Source organism: Homo sapiens, chromosome 17, assembly GCF_000001405.40.
Source record: "Homo sapiens chromosome 17, GRCh38.p14 Primary Assembly".
In the NCBI taxonomy this organism is placed as follows: domain Eukaryota; kingdom Metazoa; phylum Chordata; class Mammalia; order Primates; family Hominidae; genus Homo; species Homo sapiens.
In genome coordinates this window covers 5,054,287-5,072,542 of record NC_000017.11, presented here as the reverse complement: position 1 = coordinate 5,072,542, position 18,256 = coordinate 5,054,287, and the positions used below count along the sequence as shown (strand labels likewise).

The following is an 18,256-nucleotide window of genomic DNA, read 5'->3' as shown; positions in this document are numbered from 1 at the left end:
CTGAATCAAGGTTCAGTTACATCCTTGGTGTTCCCCCTTACACCTCCAGCTGTGAAGATGTAAGGAAGTAGAGCAAAGGAGCAACTTCCTACTCTGGAGTTAACAATTATACAGATGGTCCCCAACTTAACAATGCTTCAACTTGCAAGTTTTTGACTTTACAACAGTGCGGGAACAATACACATTCAGTAGAAAATATACTTCTTTTTTTTTTTTTTTTTTTTTTTTTTGAGACAGTTTTGTTCTGTTGCCCAGGCTGGAGTGCAGTGGCACAATCTCAGCTCATTGCAACCTCCACCTCCCGGGTTCAAGCACTTCTCCTGCCTCAGCCTCCTGAGTAACTGGAATTACAGGCACATGCCACCACGCCTGGAAAGAGATCAAAATTCAGAATTTGAAGTATAGGCCGGGGGCGGGGGCTCACGCCCATAATCCCAGCACTTTGGGAGGCCGAGGTGGGCAGATCACCTGAGGTCAGGAGTTTGAGACCAGCCTGGCCAACATGATGAAACCCTGTTTCTTTTTTTCTTTTCTTTTCTTTTTTTTTTTTTTTTTGAGATGGAGTCCTGCTGTGTCACCCAGGCTGGAGTGCAGTAGCATGATCTAAGCTCACTGCAACCTCCGCCTCCCGGATTCAAGCCATTCTCCTGCCTCAGCCTCCCAAGTAGCTGGGGTTACAGGCACTCGCCACCTGTAATATTTGTATTTTTAGTAGAGACGAGGTTTTGCCGTGTTGGCCAGGGTGGTCTCGAACTCCTGACCTCAGGTGATCCACCTGCCTGGGCCCCCCAAAGTGCTAGGATTATAGACATGAGCCACTGCACCCGGCCTGAATGCATTTTCAACTTACAAAATGTTCACCTTACGATAGGTTGATCAGGATGTAACCCCATTATAAGTTGAGGAACATCTGTATCAAGGAGGCCAGAGCAACCAATTCTGAACCTGACCCAGCAAGATCACGTTTTTACTGTGCTTGGATGACAGATCCTTCTTGGGCAAGTTCTTTAAGCCTAAGAGGTGCGTTGGGGTCCTGTAAGGTCCATGTCTGTCTTAGGTGAAACCACCGTCCGTTTCACAGTGGGAGAAATGCAGCACCACCCAGAAACCTCAGCCTCCCAAAAACCACCATGAGAGGGAAGACAGAGAAGAAAAGGCTGGCTTAGAGGAGGGGTCAGTACTGGGCTTTGAGAAGGTGAGCGGAAAGTTGAGGTTGGGGGCGTGGTGTGGCACTGAAACTAGACAACAGCAGAGGGTATAGGGAAAAAGTAATCAGAGGACAAAGGAGAAGAAAGCTGCATCCCAGCATATGAGGCTCATCACCAGGAATCTGGAGTCTTAACAAGGTCAGCAAAATAATCGGCAGGATTGCCACCACGGGCAAGACATCACTGAGCCACGTGTAATAATGTTCTTGTCCACTTCTCAGATCCCCAAATGTGCCTTAGAGCCCCACACAGCACAGTATTCCAGGCAGCTGCTACTATTTGTCTGAATTTGCACATGAGTGACGTTATTTGCCATCGCAGGGTCAAGGCAGTCCTATGTGAATATTTCTGAGGCTCTTTTCTGAGAAAATAGGAAGAAAATCAAGTCCCAGGGTCTCCCACATCATAGGGACACATAAGCTCCCAGTGTGACCAGAAAAGCATAAGACTGCCGGAACAACTCCTATTTCTTCACATTTACTTTACTTTACTTTTTTTTTTCTTTTTGAGACAGAGTCACGCTCTTGTCGCCCAGGCTGGAGTGCATTGGTGCCATCTCGGCTCACTGCAACCTCCGCCTCCCAGGTTCAAGCAATTCTCCTGCCTCAGCCTCCTGAGTAGCTTTATAGTTTCAGGTCTTACATTTGAGTCTTTATTCCACTTTGAGTTGATTTTTGGGTATGGTGCGAGATAAGGCTCTAATTTCATTCTTCGGCATGTGGATAGCCAGTTTTCCTAACACCATTTATTAAAGAGACTGTCAAAAATAAAAATAAAGAGACTGTTTTTTTCTCACTGTGTGTTCTTGGCACCTTTGTTACCAATCAATTGACCACAATTGTTAGATCGATTGGCTCTAACTCTGCTTTCATGGTGTTATTTTCCCAGCTCAAGATGTGGCTCATCAAAAACATCTTCAGGCCGGTGGCTCATGCCTGTAATCCCGATACTTTGGGAGGCCAAGGCAGGCAGATCACCTGAGGTCAGGAGTTCGAGACCAGCCTGGCCAACATGGTGAAACCCCCGTCTCTATAAAAATACAAAAGTTAGCCAGATGTGATGGCGGACGCCTATAATCCTAGCTACTTGGGAGGCTGAGGTATGAGAATCGCTTGAACCCGGGAGGTGGAGGTTGCAGTGAGCCAAGATCGCACCACTATACTCCAGCCTGGGTGACAAAATGAGACTCTGTCTCAAAAAAAAAATAAAAATAAAAATAAAAACATCTTCAGGGAACTACTCAGTCCTCCAACAAGATTCCTTCTCAGTGATGCACCTTTGTCCTTGGGCTGACGCCATCCTCCATACCCCAGTTACTCACTCTTCATACTGTTGTTTTCCATTAGGCCACACACCTGCCCACAATGCTATCCTTGTTCCCACTGCGACTACAAACCATAACTGTGATGATACCTCAGGACCTCTCTCAAATAAAGGGTCCCTTTGTTTCTGGGGCTTAATTCTGTTGCCAACAGCCACAGATTCTCTCTCCGGACAAATCTCGGGATCATGGCCTTCCTCCCTCATTCAAACTCACTCTACCATCTGCAGTAGTGAGTCATTCAAACCATGGTTTTTGATTTCACTATTTTAATGCCATATAAGAAATCTTGAGGTATAGATCTCACACAGGTGAGCAAAATATAGGCTTTGAGTTTGGTTTAAAACAACAATAACAAAAAAAATCCAAACTTTATATGTACCCAACATAGTTTACAAAATCCTCTCATATGTGTTAACTATGGTCAGAGTCCCTTGAAGCTTAGACTGTCTATGGCAACTGTAGATAAGGTATTTGCAGGCAAGGGAGGCCAGAAGTTTAGTGACATGTCAAAGTTTACTCAGATCGAGGCTGGGCGTGGTGGTTCACACCTGTAATCCCAGCACTTTGGGAGGCCAAGGCAGGTGGATCACCTGAGGTCAGGAGTTCAAGACCAGCCTGACCAACATGGAGAAACCCCGTCTCTACTGAAAATACAAAATTAGCTGGGTGTGGTGGCGCATGCTTGTAATCCCAGCTACTTGGAAGGCTGGGGCAAGAGAATCGCTTTAACCCAGGAGGCAGAGGTTGCAGTGAGCTGAGATTGCGCCATTGCACTCCATGCGGGGCAACAAGAGCAAAACTCCGTCTCAAAAAAAAAAAAAAAAGAAGAAGAAGGGAAGAGGTCAGGATTTGCACCTATATCTGCCGATTTCTCATCAGGCTCTTCTCACTACAACCTGATAGCCTTCCTAAAGTCCCACTTAACACACAATCTGCCTCTGCTCCTTTATGGGACCCTGAAGATTCCCAGGCCTGTTTTGCTACTGTTTTTGTTTTGGAGGTTTTTGTTTGTTTGTTTGTTTGTTTTGAGGCGGAGTTTCACTCTTGTTGCCCAGGCTAGAGTGCAATGGCATGATCTCAGCTCACTGTAACCTCTGCCTCCCAGGTTCAAGGGATTCTCCTGCCTCAGCCTTTCAAGTACCTAGGATCACAGGTGCCTGCCACCATGCCCGGCTAATTATTTATTTATTTTTTTTAGGAGAGATGAGGTTTGCCATGTTGGCCAGGCTGGTCTTGAACTCTTGACCTCATGTGATCCACCTGCCTCAGCCTCCCATAGTGCTGGGATTACAGGTGTGAGCCACCGCACCCAGCCTTGCTACTGTTTTGACCATTATTCAGCTAATGGTCAAGATGTGTCCAATTAAATTTTTTAAAATTAATTTAATTTATCATTTTTTTAAAAAAAGACAGGCCTCACCATGATGCCCAGGCTGGTCTCAAACTCCTGGCCTCAAGTCATCTTCCTGTCTCAGCCCTCCAAAGTAACAGGATTACTGTGAGCCACCACACCCAGCCAAAAAAATTTTTCATAAACTACTCAGTCTTCCAACAAGATCCCTTCTTTATGATGAAATCTTTCTCATAGTCAGCTAATGGTCAAAACAGGAAACTTCAAATCTAACATTCAGCAAATCCACATTTGCCTTATGTGTGCATAAAGCATCCCCCTTCTACCAAAATAAAACCCTGTACAATGATGGCGTTTGGGTTACTTAGCTGGCTTCAATACTTGAGTTACTTTAAGACCTCATTCGAAACAAGCACACGCACAAAGCCATCTTGAGTCCTCTCTTCTCACTCCAACCACTCCTCCACTGCCCTTCCTGACTCTTAGCATTTGAGTTAAGTTGACTTGTTGTAGCTTGCGTTGTCTTGTGAGAATATTTGTTTTTCCTTTTTTTTTTAATTTTTTTGAGACAGAGTCTTGCTCTGTTGCCTAAGCTGGACTGCAGTGGCGTGATTTCGGCTCACTGTAACCTCTACCTCCTGGGTTCAACAATTCTGCCTCAGCCTCTCGAGTAGCTGGGATTACAGGCACCCGCCACCACGTCCAGCTAATTTTTGTATTTTTAGTAGAGACGGGGTTTCACTATGTTAACCAGGCTGGTCTCAAACTCCTGACCTTAAGTGATCCACCCACCTCAGCTTCCCAAAGTGCTGAAATTACAGGCGTAAGCCACCATGCCCAGCCATTATAAGAGTATTTTCCATCTCCTCACTCAGTTCTCCACCCTTAGGCATTGCACCTGTGGCACAGAACTGACCAGAGATGGTCTGTACAGGTTGACTGACAAATGCTTACATGGGGCCGGGGCAGTGGCTCATGCCACCCAACATTTTGGGAGGCCAAGGCGGGTGGATCACTTGAGGTCAGGAGTTCAGCACCAGCCTGGCCAACGTAATGAAATCCCATCTCTGCTAAATCCCGTCTTTGCAAAAAATACAAAAAATAGCCGGGTGTGGTGGCACAGGCCTGTAATCCCAGCTACTTGGGAGGCTAAGGCAGGAGAATCACTTGAATCTGGGAGGCAGAGGTTGCAGTGAGCCAAGATCACACCATTGCACTCCAGCCTGGGCAACAAGAGCTAAACTCCATCTCGAAAAAAAAAAAAATCCTTATATGGAAAGTCTTCTGAGATTACCTCGAATTTTAACAGTGACCTTCAAGAAACAGTACCTTAACACAGAAGTCTAATGGCAGGAATTTTAGGCACAGGGTAAAAGTGGTAAAAAGAGCAAAGTAGCCAGCTGACTTTTCAGAGCCCCTCACATCACATTAGATCAATAGGTTTTCTTGGTTGGTTTTTTGTTTTGTTTTATTCTGTTTTTAGACCAAGTCTCGCTCTGTCGCCCAGGCTGGAATGCAGTGGCATGATCTCAGCTCACTGCAACCTCTGCCTCCCGGGTTCAAGCGATTTTCCTGCCTCAGCCTCCCAAATAGCTGGGATTACAGGCGCCCACCACCACACCTAACTAATTTTTGTATTTTTAGTAGAGACAGGGTTTCACCATGTTGGCCAGGCTGGTCTCAAACTTCTGACCTCAGGTGATCCACCTGCCTCAGCCTCCCAAAGTGCTGGGATTACAGGTGTGAGCCACCACACCCGGCTTTTCTTTGAGACAGAGTCTCACTCTGTTGCCCAGGCTAGAGTACAGTGGTGTGATCTTGGCTCACTGCAGCCTCCACCTCCCGGGTTCAAGTAATTCTCCTGCCTCAGCCACCCAAGTAACTGAGATTACAGGCGTGCACCACCATGCCCAGCTAATTTTTGTATTTTTAGTAGAGACAAGATTTCACCATGTTGGCCAGGCTGGCCTTTAACTCCTGACCTTAAGTTATTTGCCCACCTCAACCTCCCAAAGTTCTGGGATTACAGGCGTGAGCCAGCCCCCACCCCCGGCCTCAATAGTTATTTGAATTCAACTTCTGTGTAGGATTGGATGAAAAACACTGACTGACACTAGAGTCCACAATTTTTTTTTCTTTCTTTTTTTCTTTTTTTTTTTTTTTAGAGATGGAGTCTTGCTCTTTTCCAGACTGGAGTACAGCGGCGCAATCTTAGCTCACTGCAACCTCCGCCTCCCGGGTTCAAGCAATTCTCCTGCCTCAGTCTCCTGAGTAACTAGGACTACAGGCTCATGCCGCCACGCCCAGCTAATTTTTTGTATTTTAGTAGAGACGGGGTTTCACCGTGTTGCCCAGGCTGGTCTCGAACTCCTGAGCTCAGTCAATCCACCTGCCTCGGCCTCCCAAAGCACTGGGATTACAGACGTGAGCCACCACGCCCAGCCTCAATAGTTATTTGAATTCAACTTTTTTATAGGATTAGATGAGAAACAATGGCTGACACTAGAGTCCACAATTTCTATATAATATCTGAAGGTCAGAGATCCAAAATGCAGAAACTAGATGACTGACTTATGAGACTGGTTGATCTTGACTGTGGATATTAGAAAACTTAAAATAGGGGAGACTTTCAAATGGAATTGAGGTGAAGTATGTGTGCAACCAGTGTAAGGAGCAGATGTTTGCAGATATTTCTTTTATTTTTATTTTTGAAACGGAATCTCACACTGTTGCCCAGGCTGCAGTACAGTGCTGTGATGTGGGCTCACTGCAGCCTCCAACTCCCAGGCTCAAGTGATCCTCCCGCTTCAGCCTCCTGAGTAGCTGGAGCTATAGGTGTGTGCCACAATGCTCCGCTAATTTTTTGCATTTTTTGTAGAGGTGGAGTCTCCCTGTGTTGCCCAAACTGATCTCAAACTCCTGGGCTCAAGCAATCCTCCTGCCTCTGCCTCCCAAAATTCCAAGATTACAGGCAGGAGTCACCATGACAAGCCTGCAGATATTTCAAATCCATCTGGGTTTCTGCTTCTCCTCATCTTTCTTGTCTCATTAGACATACCTTTTAAACTCTATTTGGCATTTCCTTATTTTTCCATAGGGCCACCCCTGAATCAGCAATTTTGTAAAGTTGTACTCAACCGATGCTCAAAACTAGACTCTTCTCCACTTGTGATTGAGCATGTAATTTGACCTAACAGTGCTGGACCCAAGGAAGTTGAGATTGTTCTTGGCAGTGTCTTTGGTGCCAAAATGTTGGAAGAATCTGGGCCCATTTCCAGCACTAATGGGCAATTGTTGAAAGTCACCAGATCCCACAAGGGTAAAAGCAGCATTACCAGCAGAGATGGACAAACATGTCCAAACTGGGTAAGCAGGTGACATCTCCCATCATCCTAATAATCACTGCTTAATATGGGATGTGGGTTGTAAGAATGACAGGAGACGGGCTGAACCCAGAGGGGCTGGGCTGTGCGGAGACGGATATAAATGATTGTATTAGGACTTTTCAAAATCAAGGGAATTCCCTTCTCTTGACAAGGACTAGGTGTTAAATTATGCAATGCAGTGGACATTTCAGCCTTCTCAGAGAACAAAGAACAGTTCTGCCCCTTTAGTCTCTACTCAAAACAATTGCACCCAACATTCACATATTATTTTGTTTCAGCCCAGCCTTCAGCTTGTGTGACTGGCCAACTGCCCTAAAATCATCTAACACATGAATTCTTTTTATTTTATTTTTATTATTTATTTATTTTTTTTCTTTTGAGATGGAGTTTCACTCTTGTTGCCCAGGCTGGAGTGCAGTGTCACAATCTCGGCTCACTGCAACCTCTGCCTCCTGGGTTCAAGCGATTCTCCTGCCTCAGCCTCCCGAGTAGCTGGGATTACAGGTGTGCACCACCACGCCTGGCTAATTTTTGTATTTTTAGTAGAGATGAGGTTTCTCCATGTTGGTCAGGCTTATTTAATCTCAATTACCTCCTTAAAGGCCTTATCTCTAAATACAGTCACATTTGGGATTAAGGCTTCGACATATAAATTTTGGGGGAATGCAGTTCAGTCTGTAACACCATGCCTCACCCCAGATCAATTAAAATTTGGAGGAGGAGGCTGGGAGCGGTGGCTCACGCCTGTAATCCCAGCACTTTGGGAGGCCAAGGTGGTGGTATGCAACTGTAGTCCCAGCTACTCAGGAGGCTGAGGTAGGAGAAACACTTGAACCCAGGAGGCGGAGGTTGCAGTGAGCCGAGATTGCGCCACTCACTCCAGCCTGGCGACAGGGCGACAGTGTGAGACTCTGTCAAAAAAAAAAAAAAATTTGGAGAAGGAGGGCAAGCATTGGTACCTTTTCTTTTTTCTTTTCTTTTCTTTCTTTTTTTTTTTTTTTTTGAGACACGGTTTCACAGTGTTGCCCAGGCTGGAATGCAGTGGCATGATCACAGCTCACTGCCTCCCATCTCAGCTACCTGAGTAGCTAGGACCACAGGCATGCACCACCATGCTCAGCTAATTTTTTTTTAAATTTTTTGTAGAGACAGGGGTCTCACTATGCTGCCCAAACTGGTCTGGAACTCCTGGGCTCAAGCAATCTGCCCACCTCGACCTCCCAAAGTGCTGGGATTACAGGCATTAGCCACCGTGCCCAGCCAGCATTGGTACTTTTAAAAGAGTTCTCCAGGCTTGGCCAAGCATGATGGCTCATGCCTGTAATCCCAGCACTTTGGGAGGCTAAGGCAAGAGGATCACTTCAGGTCAGGAGTTTTGAGACCAGCCTGGCCAACATGGCAAAACCCAGTCTCTACTAAAAATACAAAAATTAGCCAGGCGTGGTGGCAGGCACCTGTAGTCCCAGCTACTCGGGAGGCTGAGGCAGGAGAATCGCTTGAACCTGGGAGGAGGAAGTTACAGTGAGCTGAGATGGTGCCACTGTAGTCCAGCCTGGGCGACACAGTCAGACTCCATCTCAAAAAAAAAAAAAAAAAAAAAAAAAATGAGCCCTCCGGGGTTAAGAACCACTCATAAAGCATGAGCTTTGAAGACAATCCCACACTCCCCTTGGGCTTCTGCTATTTCCCATGTACCTAGGAAAGTGCCCTGAGCTCTGAGTTTAGGTTCCTCTCCTATAAAATGGGAGTACTATTAGCACACAGGGTTCATGTGAGAATTAAATGAGATACTGCAGACAAAGCACTTCACACCTGCCAGGCTGTCGCAGGTACTATACAATGGCAGTTCCCACTCAGCTACTCCTGCCATGAAGAAGGAGACAGAGAGATTTTCCTGAGGCAGCAGGCAACAGTTGGAAGAAAAGGGGAGCAGGAAAGGGTGTTTGTGTGAGGAAGGTTATCCTTTGCGTGAGGAAGCACAATTAAGTAAACTGAATGTTGAAAGAGAACAAGAGGCTGGGCGTGGTGGCTCAGGCCTGTAATCCCAGGACTTCGGGAAGCTCAGGTGGGCGGATCACCTGAGGTCAGGAGTTGGAGACCCATCTGGCCAACATGGCGAAACCCCGTCTCTACTAAAAATACAAAAAATTAGCCTGGCGTGGTGGTGCACGCCTGTCGTCCCAGGTACTCGGGAGGCTGAGGCATGAGAATTGCTTGAACCCGGGAGGCAGAGGTTGCAGTGAGTCGAGATCGCGCCACTGCACGCCAGCCTGGGCGACATAGCAAGACTCTGTCTGAAAAAGAAAAGAAGGCCAGGCACAGTGGCTCACGCCTATAATCCCAGCACTTAGGGAGGCCAAGTCAGGTGGATCACGAGGTCAGGAGTTCAAGACCCGCCTGACCAATATGGTGAAACCTTGTCTCTACTAAAAATACAAAAATTAGCTGGGCATGGTGGTGCATACCTGTAGTCCCAGCTACTCAAGAGGCTGAGGCACGAGAATCGCTTGAACCCGGGAGGTGGAGGTTGCATAGAGCCGAGATTGCGCCATTACACTCCAGCCTGGGCAACAGAGCGAGACTCTGTCTCAAAAAAAAAAAAAGAGAAGGAGATATGTTTACAGATTTAGGCGTCTTCTTCCCTACTCGGGAATAAAGAGGCAGTTTTCTTGCTGGGCATCAGGTGGCGCCAGCAACCTACAGACAAGAATTTCAACTGTGGCCGGGAAAGTGGATGAGGAAGGACAGTTGAGTCCCAGGTCTCCCTGATGCAGCTGCCACTTTGTCTAGACAGAGAGTCTTCAATCATTTGTCTAAATTTCAGTTAACCCATGAAATTCAGTATGTGGACTAATCCACCTCCTCTAGATTTTTTCTAATTATTTTGATATCAAGAGATATGTATAAACATGCATACTCTTATGTTTGTGGTGTTTTCTTAGACTGGCCGAAGATATTCTCTTTCATTGCAGTCATAGGATTATTCCCTGAGACGAATTATTTGATATTGTCATAAAGATTGACCTAGGCCAGACAGCATTTACCCATCTGTTACATTCAAACAGTTTCTCTCTGATATGAATTATCTGGGGTAGAGTAAGGCATGAACTATAATTGCAGGACTTCCAATATTTATGTCACTCACAGGTTTTCTCCCCAGAGGTAATTCTTTGATGTGGACGAAGATTTGAGCTCTGATTAAAGGCTGACCACATTCAATAAATTATGGGATTTCTCTCCTGAGCAAATTCGGTGATGTAGAATAAGATGAGGATTCTGAGGAAAGGCTTTCCTGCAGTCTTTACATTCAAAGGATTTCTCTTCTAACATGAAGTCTCTAGTAAGGCTAAATTATAGCTAAATATTTACCTGCACTCCTTACTTTTTTTTTTTTTTTTTTTCCTTGAGACAGAGTTTCGCTCTTGTTGCCCAGGCTGGAGTGCAATGGCGCAATCTCGGCTCACTGCAACCTCCACCTCCCGGGCTCAAGGAGCTCTCCTGCCTCAGCCTCCCGAGTAGCTGGGATTACAGGCACGCACCACCACGCCTCGCTAATTTTTTTTTGTATATATATATATTTTTTGTTTGTTTGTTTGAGACAGAGTCTCGCACTGTTGCCCAGGCTGGAGTGCAGTGGCATGATCTCAGCTCACTGCAAGCTCCGCCTCCGGGTTCACGCCATTCTCTGCCTCAGCCTCCCGAGTAGCTAGGACTACAGGCACCCACCACCACGCCTAGCTACTTTTTTGTATTTTTAATAGAGACGGGTTAGCCAGGATGGTCTCGATCTCCTGACTTCGTGATCTGCCTGCCTCGGCCTACCAAAGTGCTGGGATTACAGGCGTGAGCCACTGCGCCAGGCCATTTTTTTCTATTTTTAGTAGAGATGGAGATTCACCATGTTGGCCAGGCTGGTCTCAAACCCCTGACCTCGGGTGATCCGCCCATCTGGGCTTTCCCAAAGTGCTGGGATTACAGGCGTGAGCCACTGCATCTGGCCGACACTCCTTACTTTCACAGGGTTTTTTTCCAATGTGAATTGTGTGATGTTCAGTAAGACCTAAGCTCTAGCTGAAGGCTCTTCCACACTCGACGCCCTTACAGGGTTTTCCCCCCAAATGAATTATCTGATGTTGAACAAGTTGAGATCACCACCTGAAATATTTTCCAGCCAGGGGTGGTGGTTCTTTCCTGTAATCCCAGTACTTTGGGAGGCCGAGGCAGGAGGATGACTTGAGCCCAGAATTTCCAAACCAGCCTGGACCACATAGGGAGACCCTGTCTCTACAAAAACTAAAACAATTAGCCAGGCATGGTGGCACGCACCTGTAGTCCCAGCTACTCGGGAGGCTGAGGTGGGAGGATCGCTTGAGCCTGAGGGGTCGAGGCTACAGTGAGCCATGATCATGCGACTTTACTCCAGCCTAGGCAACAGAGCAAGACTCTGTCTCAAAAAAATGTTCCCACATTTATTACATTCATAAGTCTTTCTACTATGAATTCAACAATATCTAATGAGCTCTAACTTCCCTTTGAAAGTGCTCTCACTGCTGGGCGCGGTGGCTCACACCTGTAATCCCAGCACTTTCGGAGGCCAAGGTGGGTGGATCACAAGGTCAAGAGTTTGAGAACAGCCTGGCCAATATGGTAAAACCCCATCTCTACTAAAAATACAAAAATCAGTGAGCATGGTGGTGGATGCCTGTAGTCCCAGCTACTCAGAAGGCTGAGGCAGGAGAATCACTTGAACCCGGGAGGCAGAGATTGCAGTGAGCAGAGATCGCACCACTGCACTCCAGCCTAGGTGACAGAGCAAGACTCCATCTCAAAAGAAAAAAAAAAGTGCTCTCACATCTACTCTGTTCATAGGATTCTTCCATAATATGAATTCTCTGATTAGAGTATAGCGTTATGGACTGAATATATGTGTTCCCAAAAAATTCATACGTTAAAGACCCAACTCATGGCATGGCTATATTTGGAATAATTAATTGGAAGTAATTAAGGTTCAATGAAGTCATAAATTTGAGGCCCTGGCCAGAAGCAGTGGCTCAGACCTGTAATCCCAACACTTTGAGAGGTCAAGACAGGAGGATGGCTTGAACCATGGAGTTTCAGACCAGCCTGGGCAACATAGTGAGATGCCATCTCTACAAAAAATTTAAAAATTAGCTGGGCATGGTGGTGCATGATTGTGGTCCCAGCTACTCAGAAGGCTGAGGTGGGAGGATCCCTTGAGCCAAGGAGACCGAGGCTACAGTGAACCATGATCACTGGAGCCAAGGAGACTGAGGCTACAGTGAACCATGATCGCTGGGCTACTGCACTGCAGCGTGGGCGACAGGGTGAGACCCTGTCTCAAAAAAAGAGATGAAGAAGAAGGAGAAGGAGAAGAAGAAAGAAGAAAGAAGGAGAAGGAGATGGAGATGGAGAAGTAGAGGAAGGAGGAGAAGGAGGAGGAGGAGGAGGGGGGAGGAGGGAGGAGGGAGAAAGGAAGAAGGAGAAAGAAGAGACACCAGAGAGCTCTCTCATCCTCTCCCTTTCTCCCTCCCTCTCCCCAGCACTCCCCTAACTGCCCCACCACCACCTCCCCATAACCTGCACACTTGCACAGAGGAAAGGCCACGTGAGGACATAGCGAGAAGACAGCCATCTGCAAGCCAAGCAGAGAGCCTTCCCCAGAAACCAAATTGGGTGGAACCTTGATACTGGACGTCTACCCTCCACAGCTGTGAGAAAATAAATGTCTGGTTTAAGCCACCCAGACATGGGTGCCTGTGTCCTTGAGACAGAGGAAAAATGATGACATGGTATTTCATCATGGCAGCCTGAGCAAACTAATACATATGGTGTTAATTTTCTTTGCCACGTATGTCACGTTTTCACCTAGCTCACTGGTAAAGATTTTTTTTTTTTTTTTTTTTTTGAGACAGAGTCTCACTCTGTTGCCCAGGCTGGAGTGCAGTGGTGCGTGCAGGGGTGTGATCTCGGCTCACTGCAACCTCCGCCTCCTGGGTTCAAGCTATTCTCCTGCCTCAGCCTCCTGAGTAGCTGGTATTACAGGCGCACTACCAAGCCTGGCTTTTTTTTTTTTTTTTTTCAGTAGAGACGGGGTTTCACCATCTTGGTCAGGCTGGTCTTGAACTCCTGACCTCGTGATCAGCCCGCCTCAGCCTCCCAAAGTGCTGGGATTACAGGCATGAGCCACTGCGCCGGGCAAGATTATTTTTAATGATACAACTTTGTTGGGGGCAGGGGTGGGAGGTAAGAGCACTTGTTCATTGTTAGAGGATTGCAAATTGGTACAAATTACAGGGAGAGCAAATCTTCCCAAAGGTAATAGTCATGCACCCTTTGACTGAGCAAATCCACTTCCCAAACGTATTCTGCAGATACTCTTGTCTGTAAATTTACATGAATACAAAGTTATTCGGTGCAACGTTGTTCATAACACCAAATAGTGTGAAACAGTTTAAATGTATCCACAGGGAAGTGGTTTAATTAATTAAGATACACCCATAAAATGGGTTAACAGTCAGGGTGGCTCATGCCTGTAATCCCAGCACTTTGAGAGGCTGAGGCAGGTGGATCCTTTGAGTCCAGGAGTTCGAGACCAGCCTGGGCAACATGGTGAAACCCTGTTTCCACACAAACAAAAATATAAACATTAGCCGGGCGTAGTGGTGCTTGCCTGTAGTCCCAGCTACTTAGGAGGCTGATGTGGGACGATCAGTTGAGCCCAGGAGGCAGAGGTTGCAGTGAGCCAAGATTGTGACACTGCACTCCAGCCTGGGAAACAGAGCAAGAACCTGTCTCAAAAAAAAAAAAAAAAAAGGCTGGGCGTGGTAGCTCATGCCTGTAATCCCAGTACTTTGGGAGACCGAGGTGGGTGGATCACCTGAGGTCGGGAGTTCAAGACCAGCCTGGCCAACATGGTGAAACCCTGTCTCTACTAAAAATACAAAAATTAGCTGGGCATGGTGTCACATGCCTGTAATCCCAGCTACTTGTGGGGCTGAGGTAGGAGAATCGCTTGAACCTGGGAGGCAGAGGTTGCGGTGAGCTGAGATCATGCCATTGCACTCCAGCCCGGGCAACAAGAGTGAAACTCTGTCTAAAAAAAAAAAAATTAGCTGGGCATGGTGGCACGTGCCCGTTATCCCAGCTACTCGGAAGGCTGTGGCAGGAGAATCGCTTGAACCCGGAAGTCGGAGGTTGCAGTGAGCGGAAATCGTGCCATTGCACTCCAGCCTGGCGATAGAATGAGACTCTGTCTCAAAAAAAAAAACAAAAAAAAACATAAAAAAGTGGTTCCCAAAAACACTGTGGCTTCCAAAGTGGGAACCAACAGGGCAGGACAGCCTGTGTCCTCAACAAACTCGGAAATTTGTGCTGGGGGAAGGAATATTGGGTCATCACAAGAGAAACCAATGGGGTTAGTGGCAGGACTGAACAAAGGATAAAGCAGTGATGATTCTTTTCAACAGGGAAGTTCTCAGTGTGGGCAGCCTGTGGATTCAGTACTCTCACCTATCCCTGACCTGCCTTTAGGGGCTGTGGCCCTTCCTACCATATGCCCTCCCTACCTGCCGCTTTGCCCTTTGGCCATTTCTTCTCTTCTTGTGTTTCTTTCCCACTTCTACTCTTATTTCTCTCTTCCTCTCAACTTTTTCTTCTTCCTAGAAGGTTTGTGTTTTTTTTTTTTTTAAACTGGTGAAGTTCTATGCTGAAAATCACAGAAGGTTTAGAGTTCCCTAAGGGCCAAAAGGATTGCTGACTCTTACTAAACTTAGTAACCTTAAACGAAATTTGAATCCACTAGAGGAGCCTAGTAAAAATCAATCAAATGGATGGGCGCGGTGGTTCACGCCTGTAATCCCAGCACTTTGGGAGGCGGAGGCAGGCAGATCACGAGGTCAAGAGATCGAGACCATCCTGGCTAATATAGTGAAACCCCGTCTCTACTAAAAAGACAAAAATTAGCCAGGCGTGGTGGTGCGCGCTTGTAGTCCCAGCTACTCGGGAGGCTGGGGCAGGAGAATTGCTTGAACCCGGGAGATGGAGGGTGCAGTGAGCTGAGACCACACTACTGCACTCCAGCCTGGCGACCGAGCAAGACTCCGTCTCTAAAAGAAAAAAAAAATCAGTCAAACATATTTTAAGATCTCTGCATTTATTGAGCACACTGGAGTTACACTCAGTCTAATGGAAGAGGTGGACATGTAAAATCAAAGTTATCTGAAGTAAAGTACTTAATATAATGCTCTGCATGCTCAGAGCACTACAGGCACGCGCCACCTTGCCTGACTAATTTTTGTATTTTTTTGTAGAGACCGGGTTTCACCATGTTGCCCAGGCTGGTACAGACTGTAGTTAAGAGTATATATATCCGTAGGCTGGGAGCCGCGGCTCACGCCTGTAACCCCAACACTTTGGGAAGCCAAGGCAGGTGGATCACTTGAGCTCAGGAGTTTGAGACCAGCGTGGGTAACATGGCAAAACTCCATCTCTACTAAAAATACAAAAATTAGCCGGGCATGGTGGTACCCACCTGTAATCCCAGCTACTCAGAAGGCTGAGGCACGAGAATTGCTTGAACTCGGGAGGCAGAGGTTGCAGTGACCCGAGATCATGCCACTGCACTCCAGCCTCGGAGACAGAGTGAGGCTAAAAAAAAAAGTATATATATATTAAATATTATATTTGTTATGTATATATAACAAATTTGTGAACCTGAACAAGAAACTGACAGCAGTAAAAGAAACACAGACCAGGCTGGGCGCAGTGGCTCACGCCTGTAATCCCAGCACTTTTGGATGCCGAGGGGGACAGATCACCTGAGGTCAGGAGTTAAAGATCAGCCTGACCAACATGGAGAAATCCCATCTCTACTAAAAATACAAAATTAGCCGGGCGTGGTGGTGCATGCCTGTAATCCCAGCTACTCGGGAGGCTGAGGCAGGAGAATCACTTGAACCCGGGAGGCAGAGGTTGTGGTGAGCCAAGATCACACCATTGCACTCCAGCCTGGTCAACAAGAGCAAAACTCCAAAAAAAGAAAGAAAGAGGCCAAGTGCGGTGGCTCACACCTATAATCCCAGCACTTTGGGAGGCCGAGGCAGGCGGATCACGAGGTCAGGAGATCAAGACCATCCCGGCTAACACGGTGAAACCCCGTCTATACTAAAAATGCAAAAAAATTAGCCAGGCATGGTGGCGGGTGCCTGTAGTCCCAGCTACTCAGGAGGCTGAGGCAGGAGAATCACTTGAACCCGGAAGCAGAGGTTGCAGTGAGCCGGGATCGTGCCATTGCATTCCAGCCTGGGTGACAAAAGCGAAACTCTGTCTCAAAAATTAAAAAAAAAAAAAAAAAAAAAAAAAGGAAAAGAAAAGAAATGAAAAAGAAAGTGAAGGGGAGAAAAGCATCTGTAAAAGCCCAAGGGTGGTAGGATGAGAGCTCGTTTCCCTGTGCACCTGGGGATGCACACTCCCCTGGAGGACCAGGGAGGCGCCCTCGTCCTCTTAGGGCCACTCTAGGTGAGGAGAAGGAACCGTCTATTGTCCTAGAAAGGCCGATCCTCTCTAGGCTTCCAAATCGATGGTGAGCTGGAAGAGTGGTGATGCGGCTCATCTTCAGAGCGCTTTCTTGTGCTGTCGTTGTCCTCCAGAGAAGAGGTTGGGGGCTGTGCAAGATGGGACAATGACCACCCAGGGTAGGCCCATGTCATAGTATGGCAGTGCCGAGGCCTTAAAAATCTATGGTTTTTTGTTTTTTTTTTTGAGGTGGAGTTTCGCTCTTGTTGCCCAGGCTGGAGTGCAGTGGCGCGATCTTGGCTCACCGCAACCTCCACTTCCCGGGGGTTCTAGCAATTCTCCTGCCTCAGCCTCCTGAGTAGCTGGGATTACAGGCATGCACCACCATGCCCGGCTAATTTTGTATTTTTAGTAGAGACGGGGTTTCTTCATGTTGGTCAAGCTGTTCTCGAACTCCCGACCTCAGGTGATCTGCCCGCCTCGGCCTCCCAAAGTGCTGGGATTACAGGCGTGAGCCACCACACCCAGCCAAATGCTGAGTTCTTATCATGAGTGATGATGATGAGTTATGGCTATTTCGAGCTGCTAGAGGCCTGCCTTTTTTTTTTTTTTTTTTTTTTTTTTTTATTGTAATGCAGGACGGGAAATGCAACAAACAGCCTCCATGTTCTTGCTGTCTGGGGATGGTATGAGACGTATTCCTTCCTCAGGGCCTTTGCATATCCTATTCTCTCTTCCTAGAATGCTCTTCCTCCAGAGCCCTTATGTCTCTTTCACCTCTTTTATACTCTACCCAAAAGTCTGCCATCCTATCTAATAGTTCAGTGTCCTACCTCCCTCCAGTCACACACTTTATAGCCCCCTTTCTCACTTTATATTTTCTAAACAGTTGTCTTTGTTTTGTTTTGTTTTTGTTTTTGTTGTTTTTGTTTGAGACGGAGTCTCGCTCTGTCACCCGCACGGGAGTGGCTGCTCCTGCATCCTCCACCTCCTGGATTCAAGCGATTCTTCTGCCTCAGCCTCTCAAGTAGCTGGGAATACAGGTATGTGCCACCACATCCAGCTAATTTTTGTATTTTTAGTAGAGACAGAGTTTTGCCATGTTGGCCACGCTGGTTTCGAACTCCTGACCTCAGGTGATCCACCTGCCTCAGCCTCCCAAAGTGCTGGGATTAAGACATAAGCCACCACGCCCGGCCCGTACTACATATTTTATTTACTTTTTAAATTATTGTTTTGTTTTCTCCTCTGATTGTATAATTCACGAGGGCAGGGATTATTGTTAGGTTTTTTTTTTCACTGCTCTGTCCCCAGAGCCTAGACCCACACTATCTAGGTACATACAAATATAGAGAATGAGGGCCTACAGTGGAACACAGGACTGTGAAGTAGGTCCTGGGAAAGATACAAAGAGGTGTGAGATGTTACCCTTGCCTAAGAGGAGTTACAGATG

The 18,256-nt window shown here is 46.9% G+C and overlaps 1 pseudogene, besides 2 other annotated features; it reads right to left on the bottom strand.

Moving 5' to 3' along the window:
- Positions 9,462 to 10,222: an enhancer, noted in NCBI's record as "H3K27ac-H3K4me1 hESC enhancer chr17:4965616-4966376 (GRCh37/hg19 assembly coordinates)". NCBI's record gives its function as "activates a minimal SCP1, AML or CMV promoter by ChIP-STARR-seq in primed H9 embryonic stem cells {active_cell/tissue: H9 hESC(primed)}" and the evidence as "EXISTENCE:reporter gene assay evidence [ECO:0000049][PMID:30033119]".
- On the bottom strand, positions 10,238 to 10,775 carry LOC100421332 (zinc finger with KRAB and SCAN domains 1 pseudogene; annotated as a pseudogene).
- Positions 16,695 to 16,989: an enhancer, noted in NCBI's record as "tiled region #9431; HepG2 Activating non-DNase unmatched - State 4:PromP, and K562 Activating DNase unmatched - State 12:CtcfO". NCBI's record gives its function as "activates a minimal TATA promoter and a strong SV40 promoter by Sharpr-MPRA in HepG2 cells, with weaker activation in K562 cells {active_cell/tissue: HepG2 | K562}" and the evidence as "EXISTENCE:reporter gene assay evidence [ECO:0000049][PMID:27701403]".